We start from the raw sequence: 23,672 nt of genomic DNA, 5'->3' as shown, positions 1-23,672 counted from the left end.
TTGGAGAATGACTGAAATAAAGAGGAATCTGAGTCATGATGAATTGAATCGACAGTTACTGGGGCTTGAGTCTTCACTGTCTGTCTTCGAGTCTAGTGCTGGGTCCCAAAGTTAGGGATGATAGGAGTGGAAAGCTGAAGTTATGGGACAGGTTTAACACAGGACCAGACTGAGGGCTCTATTTTAAAATGTCTGATGCTGTCTTTGTTGATGACTGTTGGTGACTGTCAATGATAATGACTGTTGGTAATTATCGAGATAATTCAATGTACTCATCTCAGCCCTTAACTGTCTTTTTTAAGTATGAAGCCTTTCTCCCTCCTGAAACATACAATTTTTCTAAAACTGTGTGGTGAATTCACAAGGCTAAGGGTTAATCCCTGCCTTCTCTGATTATCAAGTAGGTATAGGTGAAAAGTCATACTGGACTTGTCTTCTCTTAACTGACATCTTCACACACAATTTGCATAAAATATGTTTTTATCCAAAGTAGGTCTATAATTACACAGAATGCCAAATTAGGAGGTTCCATGATTCCTTTGCCCATGGAAGTCTTCTCCCTTCAACAAAACTGCAAGAATACAAGACTTATCTTTTACACAGAAACTAAATGACACATTGAAAGAAAAGACGAGCCCTATCATTATAAAATCACTGAGGTATTCAATGAGGAAAGAAAACTTTGAACGTTTTGTGATGTGTGATATTTTAAGTGATTTCCCAGATGTTGTCATTCAAAGACAGGAATACCTCAAATTGAAAAGGATATTCTAATGAAGTCAGATTTCAGTACCCAGTCCAGTGTTGGTAGACAGACATGTTTATGAATTGAAAAGGAGCAGGTGTCATTCAAATGTCCTTTCCTTTAATCCTTGAGGAATTATTCTTAGCTTCCCGTAAGAATGATTGTAAATCTAGAATAATCGTTATGAAAGGTTTACCCAAGGTTCTGCATATCCTTAAATCGCAGATCAAGGCTAGTGGGAAAAATAAAAAGCATGAACAATTCTCCCTCACATTCAAAAACTGCAGGGAAAATACAGAGCAACAAAGATGAAAGTTGCAAAGAGCTGCAGAGTAACTAAGGCACTGAAGATGAACCAGCCTATGCTTCAGGGCAGAACCTGGGTCATAGCAGCAGGAAAAATAGGAGTAATAATAGGGAAAGATCTATACTAGTGCTGTCCAGTGAAACTCTGTCATGAAGAAAATGCTCTGCATTGTACAATAGCCACGTGTGAATCTACAGAATGAGAAATGTAGGTATTGTGATAAAGAAACAACATTTCTGTTGGGCTTAATTTTAATAAATTTAAGCTTTAATTCAAATAGCCATATGTAGGTACTGACTACCATATAGGAAGTACAATTCCATATATTGACCAAGAAGACACGTTAGTAGCCCACAAGAAAAGGAGGAGCTTGAGTGACTTACAGAAAATAAACAAATCCATTTGAAAATGCCAAATACAACTGCATTTGACTACTAGCACTTCAGGTTGTGCTCAAACCTGGTGCAGTGTAGGAAAGGAAGGTTTACAACTAACAATAAATCAATCATGTATTGTTGATTTCACATTTTCCTGCTACATAGGTCAACCAAGAGAGCATCAATTTGCTATTTACATTTTGACACATGCACAAAGATGGACAACTTACACCTAGCAATAAATATAGTGGAGGACATTTGAAATGACTGGAAACCAGATAATCAATCTGCCTTACTGGCACAGATTTATAGAATAAATTCTCAAAGGGTGTGCTGTCTCTGCAGGAGTTGATATGTTCTTCTCATTGTTGAAGTGAATTACACTCCAATACACTAAGTAAATCTTCTTTTTAAAATACCCAGTTAACGTAGAATGATTCAGAATCTAAGCAAAGTGTGGCACTTCACAGAAATTTAAATATATATAATTAATTTTAATTTTATGATCAATTTCTAGAATCCTAAACATTAAGAAATACTTAGAACTTTTTAAATTGCTGACAGTGTTGGTGAACTATTGTCTAAATATATTATATATAATACATTCTCCAAAAAAGTCATGTAAGATACTTAAATTGCATGATAGATTTTTCTAATTTTCAATGATCCTTAAGTAAAATGTTTTATATACATTTCAATTATATGAAAATATAAAATCACAATATAGACTTATTAGAAAAATACATAAACTTGGCCTTAAAATAATTTTTAAAAATCTATAAATTACTGCAGAACATTTAGGTTTTTTCTTGTTGAAATTGTGTGTGTGTGTGTATGTGTGTGTGTATGTCTGCATACTTCTATGTACATGTGAGATATAAACATTATATAGGTGAATGACATACCTTAATTTATCAGAATACTAACTTGTGAGAAAAGAATTACTTAGTTTCTTTTTATTTAGAGGGTTTTTAAAAATCATAATAATAAGAATACAAATTTGAAAAAATAATCTTACAAAGTTTATTTTTAAAATAATGAGCATTCCCCTCATTTCACCATTGCACACATGTGCACACACACAAACATACACATACACATCCAGATGTAATCATTAGTTGTTTTAGACTTACTGCAACATAGTTAAATAACCTACATAGAGTGTCATGAAACAAGCTGCAATAAATTTAAAGTGATTTAAATGAACTAATGTGTGTTCTCTAACTATAAGGGAATTATATTAGAAATCAATAAGATAAACTAGGTAAATGCACAAATATGTGGAAATTAAACGAGACACACCAAATAACTAATAGGTGAAAAATAAATTATGTGGGAAATTGCAAAATATTTTGAAGAGTAAAACTGAAAATAAAACATATCAAAACTTTTGGGGTAAATGTAAAACAGTATTTAGAGGAAAGTATGTAGCCATAAAACCTATATTTAAAAAGTGAAATATCTCAAATCAATGCCCTAACATTTCACACTTAAAAATAAGAATAGAAGATCAAATCAAACAGAAAAAAATGAATAATAAAGATAAAGTGGAAATGAATGAAATAAAGAATCAAAAATAATACAGCAAATCAGAAATACCAAAAGTTGGATCTTGAAAATATCAAAACAGACAAAACTTTAGATATGCTGACCAAGATAAAAAGAGAGATGGCTCAATTTTATAAAATCTGGAATGAAAGAACGAACTAAATTATTACCTACCTTACAGAAATAAAAAAAAAACCATTAACACATATATATCAATAAATTAGGTAACTTAAATGAAATTTCTCAAGAAGAAACAGAACATTTTATAAATACAGACCTATAACAGCAAACAGATTACATTAATAATTTTTTTACAGTTCTAACAGCTGTATTGAGATATATTTCACCAAAAGGGTACAATTCAATGGTTTTTAGTAAATTTACAGAATTGTGCAATCATCACCGTAATTAAGTTTTAGAATGTTTCCATCAACCCCAAGAGCTTCTTCATGACAATTTGCCTAACTCCAGGTAACCACTGATCTACTCTATAGATTGTCTCTTTTGGAAATCTCACATAAATGGAATCATAAAAAATGTACTCTCTTTTATCTAGTTGCATTCACTTAAAATAACATTTTTGTGGTTTATTCATCTAGCAGGACATATTAGCAATTTGTTCCTTTATACTGCCAAATAATATTATAGAGTATGGATATACCACATTGTGTTCATCCATTTATCAGGTGATGGACATTTGGGTTGTTTCTACTTTTAAGCTATTGTGAATAATGCTGCTATGAGCATTCACATAAAAGTCTTTGTATGGACATGAATACACATTTCCCTTCTTTTGGGAAGAAATATACCTCCCTGGTTAGCAATATTCTTAGATATTTTATTCTTTTGTAGCAATTGTGAATTAAATTGCCTTCCTGATTTGGCTCTTGGCTTGGTCGTTGGTGTATAAAAATTCTAGTGGTTTTTGGTCTGGTGCAGTGGCTCACGCCTGTAATCCCAGCATTTTGGGACGCCATGGTGGGCAGATTACCTGAGGTCAGGAATTCGAGACCAGCCTGGCTAATATAGCAAAACCCCATCTCTACTAAAAAAATATACAAAAATTAGCCGGGTGTGGTGGCACATGCCTGTACTCCCAGCTACTCGGGAAGCTGAGGTAGGAGAATCACTTGAATCGGGGAGGTGGAGGTTGCAGTGAGCTGAGATCGCACCACTGCACTCCAACCTGGGTGACAGAGTGAGGCTCCATCTAAAAAAAAAAAAAAAAAAAAAAAAGAAAAAGAAAGAAATGCTAGTGATTTGTACCCTGACTTTGTATCCTCCAGCTTTGCTAAAGTTGTTTATCAGCTTAAGGAGCTTTTGGGCTGAGACTATGTGATTTTCTATATATAGAATCATGTCGTCTGAAAACAGGGATAATTTGACTTCCTATTTAGATGCCCTTTATTTTTTTCTCTTGCCTGATTGCTCTGGCCAGGACTTATAATACTAAGTTGAATAGGAGTAGTGAGAGAGAGCATCCTTGTCTTTGCTGGTTGTCAAGGGTCACACTTCCAGCTTTTGCCCATTCAGTATGATGTTGGCTGTGGGTTTGTCATAGATGGCTCTTATTATTTTGAGGTGTGTTCCTTCAATACCTAGTTTAAAATTAATATTTTTTAAAAAAAAATGCTGAGGACTAGATGACTTCAATGATGAATTATAAGACTAATTTAAATAATTAATTCAGTCCTTCACAAATTCTGCCAAAATAGAAGTGGAGACACCACTCTATAATTCATTCTAAGAAGCCAATATTAGCCTGATATTCAAAACAAAGGTATCAGAAGAAAAAAAAAAACAATAAGGCTAACAAACTACAGACCAATGTTCCTTACAAGTATAGATGCAAAAGCCTTCATCAAAGTACTAGGGAATTGGATTCAGCAATATATAAAAAGAATTATATCTTATGATCTAGTGAGATTTATTCCACAATGCAAGGTTGGTTTAACATTAAAAAAATCAATCAATATAATATACTATATTAATATAATAAAGGACAAAAACGTGACCATCAAAGTGGATAATAAAATTAACAAAATCCAGGTCTTTCAAAATCAAAATACTCAATAAACTATAAAAGGAAACTTCCTCAACCTAATAAAGGAAATTTTTTAAAAAAGATAACTGTTGCTAACCTTATATTTAAAGGTGTAAGATACATGCTTTCAGGAACAAGACAAATATGTTTTTCTATTCAACATTATCTTATCTCAACTGAAGTACTGAACTTCAAAATAGCAAAATTAATCTTTATCATTTTCTAATATTCAAACTCATCCTCAAACTTTATTTTTTCCATCTGAAAGCCAAATAACAGCTTACATTTTTCCTGAAATAAAATTTAATCTCAGTAAAAATAACATTACCAAAAATTAGATTATTAAAGATAGCATTTAGTAGCATTCAATACAATTTTATTGTGTATTAGTTATTTTCTCTTAATTCTAATCTATACCTATTGAGCAGAATCAATTTAGTTATGTTGGTGTATTAAAAAAAAGTTTTGACATAAGAATCTTATACTCTGATTGCCACATAGAAGTTTGATTCTTGCTTGGAAGGATACACTAATATGCAGTTTTTTGTTTGTTTGTTGGTTGGTTGGTTGGTTTTTTGAGACGAAATCTCGCTCTTGTTGCCCAGGCTGGAGTGCAATGGCGCGATCTTGGCTCATTGCAACCTCTGCCTCCCAGGTTCAAGCGACTCTCCTGCCTCAGCCTCCTGAGTAGCTGGGATTACAGGCGCCTGCCACCACACTAATTTTTGTACTTTTAGTAGAGATGGGGTTTTGCCATGTTGGTCAGGCTGGTCTCAAACTCCTGACCTCAGGTGATCCGCTGGCATCGGCCTCCCAAAGTGCTGGGATTATAGGGCTATATGCACTTTCATATCATGCGTAGAGAGAAGCTCTCTCGTTGGGCACTTCTGTTAGAGAATCTGTGAAGCAAAAGCCTGCTAGAGTTGGCTCCTGAAACCTGACCAGTGGTCTCCCTTCCTTCTGGGCACATTTCAGAATAGGTTTTTTGTCTGTTTGTTTGCTCTTGTTTTTAAATCACTAAACATCAAGGGGTACAATATAAAAGGAGCCAATATCATAGCAACTCCTCTTAAATCTTCACAATATGTCTTTGACAATTTCAGGTAGTGGTTCACAGAGCATACACCACTCAAATATAAGTACAAAGCACCAACTGCCTGGAATATAACTTTCCTCTCCTTCAAAATGTGTAATATCTTGAATTTTCTAGATAGTATAACAAAGACCACACAATCATAGGTCCCCTGTACATGCCCTCCACTCCTCTTGAGGCACTCTGCAGCATGAGCCAAACCCTCCAGCAATCGTTTTACTGAATTAAGGTATACCCAGGCATGCTTACAAGTCAGAAAGAAAAACCCTCCACAGATAGATCTTGGGTGATCTTTAATAGGTTTTTGGTTCGGAATACCCATAACTGCAGTAATATGAGGAATAGAAAACTGAACTTACTTCTTTGGGAGAAAATGTTATGCTACATTCCAGAGATGTATTTTCCTCTAATTCCAAAGAATATATATAAGGAACTGCAGGGTCTTTAAATTCTTCTGTAAGAGGTGAAAAAGTACACATATTCATAACAATCAAAAATCAATTTCTAAAATATTTGTGCAGGGCTATGTGAAGATGCTCAGTAAAGAATTGTTCTAAATACCAAGATTCTAATTAGCAAAATTGATATCTATACATGGAACAAATATACATTCAATTGGCAAAACAGTGACAGTAAACTCATTAAAAAATAACTCCAAAGTTCAAGAAGCATGTTATAGTCATACTCAGATGAATATAAATAGGAATAAAGGGCAAGGTCAAGTAATTAACTAAATCTTAGGTCCCGGAACAGCTAGGAGACTCCCTTTCCAGTGAAAATTGATCAGGGAAGAGTCAGATCTCCTTTGATGTCTCAAAGAGTCCGTAAGTAATACAAATGCATATCCATTACCTCACTGATATACTTACTTTTCACTTTTTGAGGATATGTAAGATGTCTTACTTATTTGTATGGACTCAAACGCTACTATCTTGCCTGTAATTGGGATTCAACAAATATTTAATGAATAATAAATGACTAAACCAATGATTAGGAAACCTTCTGTAAGAATCCAGATAGTAAATATTTTAAGCTTTGTGAGACATATGGTTCCTATCACAGCTTTTCAACTCTGCCAGTATAGCATAAAAGCAGCCATAAGCATTATACAAACAAATGGGTCTGTGCGTGTTCTAATAAAACCTTATTTATAAAAACAGGTGATGGCTCATATTTGGCTCATAGGTCTTATTTTGACAACCTATGGAGTAAACTTACAAAAATGCGTATTTTGTTTAAATCTAATTTAACATCAAGATATCTAATACATGAGTAAACATATAGAGATAGCTCCCCAAAGACATTTATCTAAAATTATTGAGCAATTAAAACAAGCGATTCATAATTTTATGTTCATTTAAGGCATATACTTATATATAACATACTTAACTTAGCATATTTAACACACTAATAAGAACGGTTACGTTTCATGTATTACCAAAGTGTTTTGATATTAATAATGATGTATTTCTACAAATAAAACCATGATGAGTTACAGAGTGTAAGAAAAACATGCAGTGGTCATTAAAAACATTTAAGAAGAACTTCCCTTGATTGAATTAGTTTTAGAAATTATACCACAGGGCAATTTAAAACTGTTTTCCTTTTACAGTAATACCATTATATACAAAATATATACCTGATTTGTCTTTAAGATCCATTGAAAAATCCGGAAAGTCTTTTAGATTAAACTCCACTCTGGCACGTGTTATACCTTTGTTTTTTATTACAAATGGAATAATCTGGGTACCACCAATATAGGCGCCACTGAAATTAAATACATCCTAAAATTTAAAAAATAAAAATAATTAGAAAATAGAATAGTTTATGAAAATGTAAACTAAAACTTGCAATATTATATTTATCAAGGAAATTATTAACTACAAAGCAGAACCCTATAAAAATTTGTCACATTTTCCTTCCTCTCCCCCACCTCCTCTATGCCTCCTACATGTAATAAGTTAATAAATCCTATTAATTCTTCCCCTTTCTTCACCTCTTGTCCATATTGTAACTGTATGAAATTAGTAAATCATCACTTTTCATTTAGTTTCTAGATTTTTACTTTTCTCAAACTCTCCCCTTCATAATGAAGCCATATTTAAACTAATTAAGAATTTGATCATATCGCTTCTTGTTTTAAAATTTGATGGTTTCTCACAATCTACAGGACCATGTCCAAGCTCATTAGCAGGGCTCATAAAGTTCACCATGGTCTTCTGCTGCCTCATGTTCCAGCTTCAACTAGCTCCACTCTATTAAGTGATAACTTAATATTTCAGCAAGCTGTATGACTTGGTATTTCCAACCAACACCTGATGCTTCACCCTTCTGTGTCTTCACCCTTTTGGTGCCCCTTCTATCAGGAAAGCCTTTCTGTAACTTGCAATTGCCTAATAAAATATTACACATCCTTCAAACCCCAGATGGATAAACCACAATTAATCATGCTGTGCTCAGGACCAACTCTGTTTCTTTTATTTACTTATATTATGATATCACATAACTTATTTATGTATTTATTTACTTATCTGTCTCTTCTACTGGACCTTAGCGTGATTCATTTTTGTATCCCTAGCACCTATCCAACATCTACCTTAAATAAACAAGGAATGTTTATTAAGTGTATCTGAGCTGTAGCTCACACACAAGGCATGTGCTTATATCACAAAACTCTTTAGAATTCCTCCTTGTAGTAGAGTTACTAAAATACCATGGAGTTTCTTAGTGATAGAATTACATACAACATTTAAAGGAGATCGAGACAACAGCATCCTAATATTGAGGAGAATTCCGTATGAAAGTAGACTGGCTATTTGTTTCATTTAAAATGTCAACGCAGTTGTATATGTAAAATTTGTAAAATCCAAAATGGAAAATGAAAGTTTGATGTTTTGTATATGTAAAAATAATCACTCTTGTTATCCCATTCAAATGAGCATATATGCAAATGAGCATTGTATATGTGCTCATTTGAGTAAAATGTCCTAATTGTTATTAAGACACATAGTCAATGCCTTAGCCATTACTGTATAGTTAATAAATGTATAGCTAAAAATATCTAGTGATGTGTGAATATTATTTTTTAAAGTCAGCTATGTCTAAAATGCTATAAGGGAATATTGATAAAATATATTAAAGTCCTATAAATTATTCAGTTGTACCATAACATGCAAAGCATGCCCAAAATGACTTTAGGATGAGAAAAGAAAGTGATAAAAGACTCAATATTATCTAATATTTTTCAAGGAAGGATGCCATAGTAATGCAAAAAACACTCTGGATACTACAGAGTTTAACCTCCAGGAATCACCACAGCCTTGGACAAGCTAACTTAGTATTTGTCAGTCTACCTGGACTTATGCCTTCACCACTGAATAAAGAAAGGTTATAAAAGTATAAGTTAAAGCCATACACTGGAATTTTGGTGATGCCATTTAAATGCAGACTAGCAGTGAGCCCCCTACCTGAGGCAGCAAGCTGACCTCTTTATCATCAATTTCTGCTCAATTTAGCTCCACACCAGTATGGTGGTAGATGTTAACAGTACTAGTGGGAGAAAAAACAAAAGTACAAATAGCCCCAAAATAATATGACAACTGCTCTGATGGTGATGTTCCCAGGGTATAAGATTTCTGTAATACCTTATAAATGTCACAATGAGGGGGCCCTACTTTGAAGAATCAAGGAAAGTTTCTTTGAATAGGTAAGTCCAGATCTAAACACTAAAGCGCTGGCAAGAACAACAACAAAAAAGTGGTGTATGTGTTTGTCTGTGTGTGTGCACTCTATCAATTATAGAACAAAATTTTTTCAGGGTACATACAATAATGCAAAAATAAATGTGATTCTAGTTCAGAAAATGAAAATCAATACCACAGTGAGGTATCATTTTATACTCAATAGATTGGCAAAATTTAAATCTGACAATATAACTTGTAGAATAATAGAATTTGAAGCAATGGAAATTAGGACATTTTAGGAATAGTCTTGTGAAGTTAAACACACTCATAACTCTATGTCTCAATAACTCCATTCCGAGAGAACCTCTTGTATGTGTACCTCAGAAGATAAGCATATAAATGTTCACAGCTACAGTTTTTGTGTTTAAAAAAAACCCAGAAATACCTATTGGGATGAACAACTGAATGATCATGTAAATTATAGTATGTCTACACAAATAACTATTATGCAGTATGACAATGATTAACATACCATTACACACAATTTAGGTGAATGTTGAAAACACAATATTTAAGTAAAAGTAACTCACCAAAGGCTACAAATAGTACATCTTTGTTATAAAGCTCAAAAACAAACAAACTAAATAATCAACAATGAAAGCATTCATATTCATATTTATGTGGTGTCATTTTAGGCAAGTGGTTATCTCTTATAAGGGACAGGACCATAATGAAGATGATTTTAATGGTACTGGTAGTGTTCTGATCCTTACATTCAGTGGTAAATTCTTAAACCTTCATTCAATATTCTGTTTCAACACTTACATTTATATGACATATATTAATTTTTATTAATTTTTAACTTTGTATATAGTAATTTTTAAAAATTATACATTGGAAAATATTTTTAACATAAATGGGCTAACTAGAAACACATAACAAATAAAAATCACCACACTCAGAGTTTCATCACACAAATAAGTAACATACTCACAGGATTGATTTCTACATCAGCAATTTCAGCAGATCCACCAATCCTAAGGTCTATAACATTCGCATGACGAATAGAAACCTTATTTAGGAGAAATAAAAACTTTGTAGAAACCACATTAAAATATAATCATAAGTTGCTGAAGTATTACCTGGCATGTATATAACTTTTTTCATTTAAATAATAGTAACATATTATAAATGCACAAGATTTTTTCTGGTAATTGTCATCACATTTCTTGTTTTGCAGAATTGATACTCCTAAGTGAGTGTTTGACCCCTTAGAACCACCATAAATGTGATTAGCTGATGGTTTGTGAATTTGAAAGCAGAGTTCTACCTATTTGACTAAACTTTATTGCCACTCCTTGCAGTACAATTTTTATTTATCTAATTTCAAAGCATTATTCAAAATTTTTAAAAAACAACAGGAGAATGGTTGCAGTATATATCTTCCCCTAGAAAGATACAAATATGCACAACAACCATAATAGTAATGAGACTAACTAAAAATTGCTGTGTATATGGGTCAAGTACAGTGAAATCCTTTTTAGTGCTCAGTATTCTATTAGATAACGACTGTTAATACTCCTAATTTTAAACTGAGGAAACTGACTCTTGCAGAGGCCAAGTATTTTGTCTTTTTCATGAGATCACAAACTTGAAAGCAGCAGCAGCTAAACTAAGGGCTGCCTGAACATTTTATTGCTTTCAAGAAAATTAAAATAGCAAATTAAGAATTTAGTTGTATAATTCCTACAAAATAAGAGCTATAGAGTATCTGAGCATATAGTTGCTCAAGCAAAGTCTCAGAAGTGTAAACCTATAATTCCTTGGAAACCCTGTCTGTATAAGCACAGGAAAGAGTCAAGGTCTAGATTTAAATTTAAATGTATATTATATCTAAGAAAGTAAAGCGAGTGTATTTCACTCTTCCACAATCACTGATACTGTTTATATGCAAAGAAACCACAAAATACCATTTTTCAGAATTACTGGGAAAATCAATATGCCAGCTAGATAGCCTTATTAAAGTAGCTATATTCATAATGCTATATGATTGCCACATTTTATTCAGAGTATATAATACATAAAAAACATATTTGACTAAAATCAAAAGAAGCATAACTTAATGCTTCAGAGAAAATTACAAATTGATGTGTTCTTCATTAATAAACCCCATACACAAGTCCCAACTCCCTATGGCTGCCTTTTACTCACCTCCCAATCATTCCTTATTCATCCAAAACTCCTGGCTGTCATAGCTTATTCACCACCCAAGACCACTGGTCTCTTGACATTTTCATCTCTAGAGACTTAAACTACACCCTGGACAACATCACTCCTCATAAATGCACAACCTCTGAAACCATAAATTCATTCATCTGTCTCATTTTTACAACTCCCTCTCTCCCTTGCGTTCTCACTCATTTTCAGAGAGAACAGTTCCTGGATGTCACATATCGAAGAGACTTTGAAGCCTGTGATGTGTATGTAATATTCTCCCAATCAACCCCAATTCACCTTTCTCCTCTATATTTTCCTTTATTCAATTTCTTTCAACTTTTATCATTCCAACTTCTCAATTATATATTTGGTTCACTTACACACATCTGGACCCATAGAGCAACAGTAGAAACATTCTCTTTCATCTCTATGATGAATCGTTAGCCTTCAGACCAGTATATATATGTGGCTGCCTCTTTACTAGACATCTCTACAATCAAAAGATGCCTCCAATTCAAGCAAACGTTTTCCTCTAATAGGGTGTTACTCACACTCTGATCTCTTTCTCTCTAAATGTTGCCACCATCTGCCTCACTCTTGACATACCCATTTTATTTACATGGGACCCCTTTTCAATCACCAATCCCCATATATTTATCAGTTTCTCACCAGTTTCTCTTGCCTGGACCTCTTCACCAGACTAATAACTCTGCATTCCATCTTTCTGGTCCCAGCTTACTGCTCTACCACCAAAGTGATCTCTAAAAAATGCAAATCTCATTGTGAAATCCCCGTAGTTAAAACTCCTACCTCTTAAAATGAAGCCTGGATTTCTTAATGTTGATAAGGCCCTGTATGATCTAAAACTTACACGGGTCATATAAGTACATTTTTTCCCACTATCATCCATTTGGTAGTATAATCTAGTCATGTTAATCTTTAAGTTTCTTATGTCTGCATTGCAGCTCTCTCTCTCACACAAGCCTTAACACATGCTAGCCTTGAATAACCTTTCCTCCTCTCCCCTTACACCCCGCTTCCATCCTTTTAATCTGGCTTATTCTTAACTTATTCTTAACTTCAGGTGTCTTTTAGATATACCTTCCCCTAGGGAGCTGTCTCTGATAATTTAAGACTGGGTTGTGTATCTCTCCTGTGTACTTCCTTAGCCTGCAACATTTCTTCATCACAATACTTATGATAGTGTATTTTAATTATTTATTGAGTTGTTTATATTACCCACCAGATTGTAGGCTCTTTGACATCAAAGACCCTGGTTATCTTGTTCATCATTGCATCCTTAACATTTACAAGAGATTAGTGCATAATGTGAATGTTGAATGAATGAATAAATGAGTCTCATTATACTATAATGTTAATAAAGGTAAGATTAGAAAAAAAACCCAGCATAATCCTCTAAAATATAGTGAGAATTAAGTTTAGTAAAACCTACATTTTTGGTGGCCATTTTTTTTATTTTTCCCAGATATTGTGTTTAAAAGTATTCTACCCAAGTCTCAGATAACATATCATAATATATAATTTATAAACATTTTCAACACATTTATTTATGAAAATAAGATATCATTCTTAAGTGATTTGTTCAAGGGTTGGGGAAATCAGTTTTTATTATATTAAGTTACCTATTATTTACTCATGTATTGTTATGGTCTATTCAGGGATAACATGTAAGATATACTTAAAGTTATTCATTTTGATCTGATAACAGTGTATATATTATTTTTAATGTGAGTAAATACAAACAGTTGATCATAAGATTGACCAAGAACACTCTAGTCTTTGAGTTTTACAATTAAATTTTACACATACCTGTCTTACATATTTTATTTATCACTTACAGAAGTGCCTAATATCAGGGTAATATTTTTCTTTCTTTTTTTTTTTGAGACGGAGTCTCGCTCTGTTGCCCAGGCTGGAGTGCAGTGATGTGATCTCAGCTCACTGCAAGCTCCGCCTCCCAGGTTCATGCCATTCTCCTGCCTCAGCCTCCCGAGTAGCTGGGACTACAGGTGCCCACCACCATGCCCGGCTAATTTTTTGTATTTTTAGTAGAGATGGGGTTTCACCATGTTAGCCAAGATGGTCTCGATCTCCTGACCTTGTGATCTGCCTGCCTCAGCCTCCCAAAGTGCTGGGATTACAGGCGTGAGCCACCACACCTGGCCCAGGGTAATATTTTTCATTTACATAATTCCGAGAACATAAAGCAGTAAAACATTTTATGTGTGCTCTAAAATATAGATGTTAAAATCATATAGAAATTACATATAATTCATATTATTAAGACTCTTTAGAATTAGCATTGCAAAATTGATTATTTTTTTCCTAATCTACCTAACTAATGCTTTGAAAAAAGCAACCCTCTTCTCTGTGGCTATCTAGGTTCGTCAAAACTCAGAAATGACAACTATCATTTCAATTTCATAAGAAAGTGCCTCATATTGATGGAAGGTATCCATTTCAACTTAGTAGAAATTTCCATTACCAACTTCATCAAAAATATTTTCTGCAAATCCTCTCCAAGTTCTGCTATCCAATTTTTCATTAGATGATAAAGCTAAGTGCTTTTTTAAATCTCCAAAAACTCTACTTCTTTAAAGCTAACTTAATTTCTAGAAAAATAATATACTTTTTGAAAATTGCTCTTTAATGTCATAACTTTAAATCCCATTCCCAATAGAAGAAAGAATTAAAACAAGTTTTCTAATAATAAACATGTGTACTCCATTTTGTAGCATTATACCTACCATTATAGATAAGTTAAACAACCAACAAACCCACATAGACATATGTAAGGTGCAAAAACTCATATGTATGGACATACCTTTGCTCTTGTATCAAACTTTTCTGCCACAGTGGGTTTACAGGAGATATTGAGAACAGTTATTCCCCCAAATGGAACTATTCCTTGCGATGGAATAATATTAATGATAGGCAAAAGACTCTGACTACAAACCTGTAATTGAAAATTTGCAGAAATGATACATTATTCTTTAAAATTATAGTTTCAAAGCTTTCATAGGAAAGCCTCCATGCCACTACCTAGAGAGAAGATCTCCAGGCACAGGACATAAAATGATTTTGTAATAGTGTTTGAAAATACCAAAGGTACAAATAGTTTGGACTAAAACAAGAAACTGCAACCCTATCCAAGAAAACAGAACCTTTGGTAGTGACAACTTCCAATTCAAATAGGATGCTGAAGTTTATTATCTGGAGTGCTTTCAAGACAGCAAAATTTATAAAGATGATATTTCTGTTCGAGAAGATGACAACATTCTAGATACTACTTTTGAGAGTCTGTCTTTCCCTGATCCTAAAAACTCAAAATAATGTTAGTGAGGAGGTAGGATGATGAAGTAATCTCTTGTTTATTTCCTTGACAGAAAGCCTAATGTCTAAGATATCATTTTGATCTTCAGAAAACTTCTAAGTAACTTATCAATTATTTATTCTATGGATTTTCATAGGCCAATTTAAACCTATTTACCATGCTTTAAGCTAGAATAATTTAAAGGAAAAATGGCCAAGAGGTTTTTGGGACTAAAGGAACAAATAGACTATGTAGGTAAGAATTAATTCTAAAGAAGCAGAGTAGAAAAGATCATCCTCATTTTTCAGTTTTGCTAAAGACTTAATTTGGGCAGAAAAAAACACATTAATGTAAAGCTTGAATGGAAAATCTCAAATGCTAAACTCTATTACTATTACTGGGAGGGGAAGCCGGTCTTACTACATTTTTCAATTTAAAAAAAAAAATCACCACTTTGCTCCTCTTTCCATTTAAATCAGGAGCAACAACCATAAACATACTCTCTCCAGAATGGCCTTGATCTAGTTCCCAGGTGCTACCATCATGGCCCTGATTACAGACTGAAATGAAAAGGAAAATCATATAACTAAATATGGAGTGTAACATTAATTAATAATGTATATTTTAAAACATAAACATCTATTTTTTCAATAAAACCAAATAACAGAAAGAATAAAAGGGAAAAGAGAAGAAACAGGGAGGCTAAGGAAGGTAGTGAGAAAAATTGTTCTTACAAGAAATTAAGAGGACAAACTAGATGAACTATACTCAGGTAAATTTAATGTGAAGTATCTAAAAATTAGCAAAAGTGAAGAATAAAGTATTAACTTCACAGCATTATGACCATGTCATCTGATCCAAATAAGAAATTACCAACATCCTATGTTACCTTGAAATAAGCATGGTTTTGTCCTACATTTTGAAGAATGGCTTTCCTCCAAGTTGTTAAACCTTGAGGGCAATTACTAAAGAGTATCCTTGGCTGCAAAAGTAAAACCTTGGTGCGACCAAGCTAATAACGAGAGGAGGAAAGAAAAAACACAATTGAATTAATGGTAAATAAAATACTTTGTTTAATTGTTTTGGTCACAAAAATATTCTAATTTTGAATATATATTAACCAAAGATATAAATACTAAAAGAAAATAAAAATTATAATACTCCTATATTCTTTATTCAGTATGTTCTAACATGCAAAATAAATCACAAATCAGGACTTTATATGCTAGTTTTGATGAAAAAGTACCCAAGGTATAATAATTTTATTTTCCAAAATTTAAACTAAATCTGTGATAATCTAGTTAAGATGGGGTAATAACATCACAGGAGATATTTTATTTAGATATTTTGGCTGTAATAGTAACTAAATATTTAGATATTTAGAATTTAGATATTTAGATATTTTTAGGTAAAATATCTAGATACTGGTGGTAATCATAAATAATGGGGATAATAGTAATAATAATATTATTGTGTACCCAGTATTAACCAGATATATGATTAATTTTTACTTACATTTCCACTATGGTCTACTAGTCCAGAAAGTGCTCAGAGGGAAGCTAGACTATGCTTATGTTATCCATCTTTAAATACACAGAGCCTATATGGGGCCTAGTACAGTGTAGGGGCTCAATAAATAAATGTTAAATGAATGAATGGATGGTACTATCACATTTTACAGTGGAAGAAACCAAAATTTCGGGTGATTAAGTATTTTGTCTAAGTCATACAATGATTACATAACATTCGCCAGCTCCACAAAACATGTATAAATATATTTCAACAAACATATGCAGTTTTTAATGTGTCAATCTTGTGTGGTCTCTTTACAGTTGAAAAAACTCCTAACTATGAACAAGGAAGTAAAGTCAATTCTCCTCATGGGGAAAGAAGAGAAGGTAATGAAGCTATAAAAAATATATTTTTCACTTTAAGACATGACACAATTTTTTTCAGCTTCATAGTGACTTTTAAAATAAAAAGTGTTACCAGATTTTGTGGAGTGCTTAAGAGAAAGGAAAATGAATGGAATATTTAAAATATACTCCCAAACTAGGTAAGGCAAAAGGAATAAGATAATTCTATTAAGAAAGTAGACCCATGACTAAGAATTGTGTAGATTAATCACTGAAAGGGATCTTAGACAGTATCTAAACAACTATGTACAAGGTGTTACCATGTGCAGTGCAAAAGGAAAGAGTTGAAGGCTCACCTAAGTATGGAAAAGAAGGTGTCAAATGAAATTATTCAGGCATGTTTCTACTAGAAGTCTACTCATGGGGCTTAACATACTGATAATGAGCACTTTGCTTATCGAAAAATGGGGATTCACAGAATTACTTAAGGTCAGGACTCCCCCTCCTCATCTCACACAAAGCACCTCACAGAACTAGTGCAACATAGACTGATTTTTGGAAATGTTGGTATCATCCACCTCTTCGATTTTTCAGGAAAGCAAGCAGTAGCCAAAGGGGAACTAGAATCCAAGTTTTCCAACTTCTCATTATGTGTTCTTTATATCAGACCCTATTGTCTTCACATATGAAATATTATTTGTTATTGTCATAGGTTTTAATATACTCTATAATTACATTTATTTGAAGAATATTATCCAGGTAATTGGAATAATAAATTTTCAAACAAAACTAACAGAAGAGTAAACAGACCAATCAGGCCTTCGTATATGAATGACAAACAAATGAATATTTTATTTAATCACTTCATGTTTCTCCACATATACATATACATATGCATGTTATACTTCAATAGAAAGTTTTTAAAAAATAAAACTAATTTACACATAATGAAAAGTAGTAGGACCCAGCTTATTTTAGGCTTAGAAGAAAAACCATACTGAGTTCTGTCACTTGCCATCACTAAAAGTAGATGAATTTCTCATCTCTTGAGGCTAAAAACTCCTCCACAGCTGAAATATGTAAGAGTATCATCATGTCCTAGAAATATAGATGGGGTTTAGTAAAAGAGCATTTGGCTTCTTTAATATTTCTAAGAACATTGAGTGGGAAATTTGGTACACATGTAAAATCATGCTTGGTGATTGAGTCATGAATTTAAGGCCCTCTGGACTGTACCAGAAAAAGGTTAAAATTGCATATTACAGCTTTCCCTCTACTCACATTTTTAATCCATCAAGTATATTCTCTGAAAATACTTTTTGTGTCTCTTAATAAAATAATTTCATTTCAATGGCTCCCATGATGATATTACATATTTATAGAGGCTCTAACAAAAAAACTAGTACTGTTGCATGAAAGTCTTGGGTTTTACAGTTAATTCTAGATATAGGTAACTATATACACCAGTGTATACCCAACAAATTCATAGCCCTCAAAACAAAAACCATGTTCAAGGAAAATAATTACATGTGCAACACATTTTAGCTTCAACGCGTTTCCTTGAAAGACATGAAGAATAAATTCTCCTTCTTCTGGAGAACTGAAGCCCTGCTGCCAAGTTACTTCACATTCCAGTGAGGAATATGCTTCAACAGTGCCTACGGAAAATGTAGAGAGAAAATAAGACATTTTCCACATTTTAATTGTATTTCTTTTTGTTAATATCCAAAATAAGAGTTAAGGTAAAAATGTGATTGCATTAAATAAACTATTAAAATTAAACTCCAAAAACAGAAAAATGCTAAGTGAGATATTATCAAATGAGTATTGACCTATAGGGTTTGATTAAAATAGAAAATGCCTGCCTTATTTTTCAATTTTAATAGGCAAATAAAATATATGAAAAAATATGCCAATATTTGGAAAACAATAGAATATTTAACAATGAAGCAAACACTCTATGATTAGAGATAAATTTACATATAGACAGTAGAAAATCATTTGTGGTTCCTAACCAAATTGCCCACACCACATGTTTTCTGACATTCTGGAATACTACTTGTCAGCATCATTCATTCAGCTTTCAGAAGGAAGAATTATCATTACCACAGAAGTTTTTTGAAATACATACATCCCTAGAGATGTAGCTTCTGATTTAGCTATCGGTAATTAACACATTGCTATAATTCAAATACATTGAGAACTCATGTGGTATCAGGTACATTTGGAGTGAGCTGTTTTATCTGTTTAGATTCATCATTTCCTTTGGAGAAAGGAAAATATTACTTAATGGAAACAATAACTTAGATGTTCTTCCTTCGGAAAGGCAGAAGCCCCTGAGATTCAAAGGCACAGGATACGGAATGAAAGAAATCAATTACCATCACAAGAAAACTTTGCCTTGGAACAGGTTGACTGTCATGGAATGGAAGTTTTCTAAATCTTAAAAACTATATACTGCCTACCTCCCTCTTAGTTTTGCAGTGGCCATATAGGGAGATAACAACATATGTATGGGGAGTAACATAGTGTATGATGCCTGGAAAGCACCTAATATCAGATATTTTTAATACTCTTGAATGCCAACACTCTGTTAGGCACATTAATTTATAAAAAGAAGAGAACTGGTTATGGAAGTGCCATCAGCTTAATCAGGGTCCATCAAGATTACATTTGAATGTAAATAACAAAAAGTCCTGCTTCAGTGGATTAGGTAGGTAAGAGTTTATCTTATGCAATTAAAATCCCAAGGATAGGTATTCCAGATCTGTCTTAATAGGTTGACAATGCCTTCAAAGACCAGTGAGCTCCTGCTAGCTTCCCATATTAACATTCCTTACCATGTGGCCTTTCTCAATGTAAAAAGGTATCATATATCATGGTGGTTAAAAGAGCACAAATTTGAATTCCCAGGCAAGATGGCCGAATAGGAACAGCTCTGGTCTGTAGCTCCCAGCGAGATCAATGGAGAAGGTGGGTGATTTCTGCATTCCCAACTGAGGTACCCAGTTCATCTCATTGGGACTGGTTAGACAGTGGGTGCAGCCCACAGAAGGCAAGCCGAAGCAGGGTGGGGTGTCACCTCACCTGGGAAGCACAAGTGGTCGGGAAACTCCCTCCCCTAGCCAAGGGAAGCCGTGATGGACCTTGCCGTGAGGGATGGTGCGTTCCAGCCCAGACACTACACTTTCCCCATGGTATTCGCAACCCACAGACCAGGAGATTCCCTCAGGTGCCTATGCCACCAGAGCCCTAGGTTTCAAGCACAAAACTGGGTGGCCATTTGGGCAGACACCAAGCTAGCTGCAGGAGTTTTTTTTCATACCCCAGTGGCACCTGGAATGCCAGTGAGACAGAACGGTTTACTCCCCTGGAAAGGGGCTGACGCCAGGGAGCCAAGTGGTCTCACTCAGCAGATTCCACCCCCACAGAGCCCAGCAAGCTAAGATCCATTGGCTTGAAATTCTCACTGCCAGCACAGCAGTATGAAGTTGACCTGGGACACTGGCTCTTAGTGGGGGAGGGGCGTCTGCCATTACTGAGGCTTGAGGAGGCTGTTTTCCCCTCACAGTGTAAAATAAGCCTCCAGAAAGTTTAGACTGGGCAGAGCTCACAGCAGCACTGCAAAGCTGCTGTAGCTGGACTGCCTCTCTAGATTCTTCCTCTCTGGGCCGAGCATCTCTGAAGGAAATGCAGCAGCAGCCCCAGTCAGGGGCTTATAGATAAAATTCCCATCTCCCTGGGACAGAGCACCTGGGGAAAGAGGCAGCTGTGGGCACAGCTTCAGCAGACTTAAACTTTCCTGCCTGCCGCCTCTGAAGAGAGCAGCAGATCTCCCAGCACAGTGCTCGAGCTCTGCTAAGGGACAGACTGCCTCCTCAAGTGGGTCTCTGACCCTCGTGCCTGCTGACTGGAAGACACCTCCCAGCAGGGGTCAACAGACACCTCATGCGGGAGGGCTTAGGCTGGCTTCTGGCGGGTGCCCCTCTGGGACAAAGCTGCCAGAGGAAGGAGCAGGCAGCAATTTTGCTGTTCTGCAGCCTCCGCTGGTGATACCCAGGCAAACAGGGTCTGGAGTGGACCCCCAGCAAACTCCAGCAGACCTGCAGAAGAGGGGCCTGTTAGAAGGAAAACTAACAAACAGAAAGCAATAGCACCAACATCAACAAAAAGGACGTCCACACAAAAACTCCATCCAAAGGTCACCAATGGCAAAAACCAAAGGTACATAAATCCACGAAGATGAGAAAAAATCAGTGCAAAAAGGCTGAAAATTTCAAAAACCAGAATGCCTCTTCTCCTCCAAAGTATCACAACTCCTCGCCAGCAAGGGAACAAAACTGGATGGAGAATGAGTTTGACCAATTGACAGAAGTAGGCTTCAGAAGGTGGATAATAACAAACTCCTCTGAGCTAAAGGAGCATGGTCTAACCCAATGCAAGGAAGCTAAGAACCTTGATAAAAGGTTAGAGGAACTGTTAACTAGAATAACCAGTTTAGAGAAGAACATAAATGACCTGATGGAGCTGAAAAACACAGCACGAGAACTTTGTGAAGCATACACAAGTACCAACAGCACAATCCATCAAGCAGAAGAAAGGATATCAGAGTTTGAAGATCAACTTAATAAAATAAAGTACGAACACAAGATTAGAGAAAAAAGAATGAAAAGGAACGAACAAAGCCTCCAAGAAATATGGGACTATGTGAAAAGACCAAACCTACATTTGATTGGTGTACCTGAAAGCGACGGGGAGAATGGAACGAAGTTGGAAAACACACTTCAGGATGTTATCCAAGAGAACTTCCCCAACCTAGCAAGACAGGCCAACATTCAAATTCAGGAAATACAGAGAACACCACAAAGATACTCCTCAAGAAGAGCAACCCCAAAAGAGCACAAATTCTAAGGTCTTCCTAGTTCAAATTTCAGAACCGGCACTTACTACCTGAGACCATGGGCAATTTCCTTAATTGCTCTGTAGCTCAGTTTAATTACATGTAAAATGGAGATAACAATTGTATTTAACTGAGAGAATCACATTGTGGGGATTAAATAAGCTAATGATGGCAGGGAGAGCCGCTTAGGAGGAAGGGGCAGGACTCCAGGCTGTGTAGAGCCCCGAGGGTTTGGCATGGGGACTGCCACAGTTGAGCACAACTTGGGATCCCCACACTCCAAGGCTTACAGTGATCCTCTAGAATAATTTAGCCTTTGGGTAACTATTAGACTTGGGCAGAGCAGGGCTGTCTTGCTCATAGGACAGGACTAGTCTGATCTGAGCAACTTCCTGTCTACTGTCATTTCCAGTAGCCCTAGTCTGGCCATGCCTGCTTGCACCACAGCCTTGGATGCCCAACCAGGGTGCTTCCTGGGGGCCCTTATCATAGCTCCTTCACTGTCAGACTGTGCCTGACCATCAAGGAACTATAGCAGACCAGCTTCCACTGAAATGTACCAGCCCACCTGCACTCTCCCCCCATCACAGCCTTCCCCTGCCACTTTGCTGGCATGTACTCACCCACAACTTGTTCCACTGCTTTGCCAGGACATGTGTGCAGGCAGATCTCCCCTCTCCTCCCCTGCTGGCATTAGTGTCCATGTGCACCCCACTACACCACCACTGCTAGTACAAGTGCATCCCACCACCCTGGCCCCGATGAGGTGCTTTTGACAGCACCCCCAATAGGAATGTTGTGGCCAGCAGACCAGGAACACTTCAGTCCCTCCAGCACGGATGTTCCTAATCTTGAGGGGCCAGAGAACAAACCTGGGGCCCACTACCAGCTCCCAGAGTTACAGCACACAGCCCAGGAGTGCTGAGATAAGCCTTTGTATATGTACCCAAAACAGGAGCACCCAGATTTATAAAACAGGTTCTTTGAGACCTACAAAGAGACTTAGATAAACACACTAATAATGGGAGACATCAACATCCCACTGACATTATCAGACAGACCACTGAGGCAGAAAACTAACAAAGATATTCGGGTCCTAAACTCAAAAACCTAACCAAATGGACCTAACAGACATATACAGAACTCTCCACTCCCAAACATCAGAGTATACATTCCTCTCATCTGCACATGGCATATACTCTAAAACTGACCATACAATTGGCCATAGAAAAATTATCAGTAAATTAAAACAAAATCAAACAAAACACCATCAGACCACAGCACAATAAAAATAGAAATCAATACTAAGAAGGTTGCTCAAAACCATATAATTAAATGGAAATTAACCTGCTCCTGAATGACTTTTGGGTAAAAAATGAAATTAAGGAGAAATCAAAAATTTCTTTATAACTAATGAGAAAAAAATACAACATAGCAGACTCTCTAGGACACAGCTAATACAGTATTAAGCAGAAATTTTATAGTGCTAAACACCCACATTGAAAACTTAGAAAGGTCTCAAATTAACAACCAAACATCATAACTAGAGGAACTAGAAAAACAGCAAA

General features: G+C 35.2%; 1 protein-coding gene across 4 annotated transcripts in view; it reads right to left on the bottom strand.

The window, feature by feature from the left end:
* The window catches only part of CFAP47 (cilia and flagella associated protein 47), a 465,584-nt gene that overhangs the window by 377,137 nt on the left and 64,775 nt on the right, over positions 1-23,672 (bottom strand). For 3 of the 4 annotated variants that reach the window (NM_001304548.2, XM_017029452.2, XM_017029453.2), the window contains exons 16-21: positions 18,732-18,862; positions 16,238-16,360; positions 14,860-14,991; positions 10,792-10,869; positions 7,754-7,898; positions 6,474-6,568 (exon numbers count right to left, since the gene is read on the bottom strand). In NM_001304548.2, coding sequence (NP_001291477.1) covers positions 6,474-6,568; positions 7,754-7,898; positions 10,792-10,869; positions 14,860-14,991; positions 16,238-16,360; positions 18,732-18,862 — 704 coding nt within the window. Of the gene's footprint in view, positions 1-6,473; positions 6,569-7,753; positions 7,899-10,791; positions 10,870-14,859; positions 14,992-16,237; positions 16,361-18,030; positions 18,863-23,672 lie in introns of those variants that run through there. The other variant, NM_152632.4, reaches the window with a different exon arrangement.

This window comes from Homo sapiens, chromosome X, assembly GCF_000001405.40.
Source record: "Homo sapiens chromosome X, GRCh38.p14 Primary Assembly".
In the NCBI taxonomy this organism is placed as follows: Eukaryota; Metazoa; Chordata; class Mammalia; order Primates; family Hominidae; genus Homo; species Homo sapiens.
Note: the sequence above shows the minus strand (reverse complement) of the source record. Positions and strands in the feature narration are given on the sequence as shown.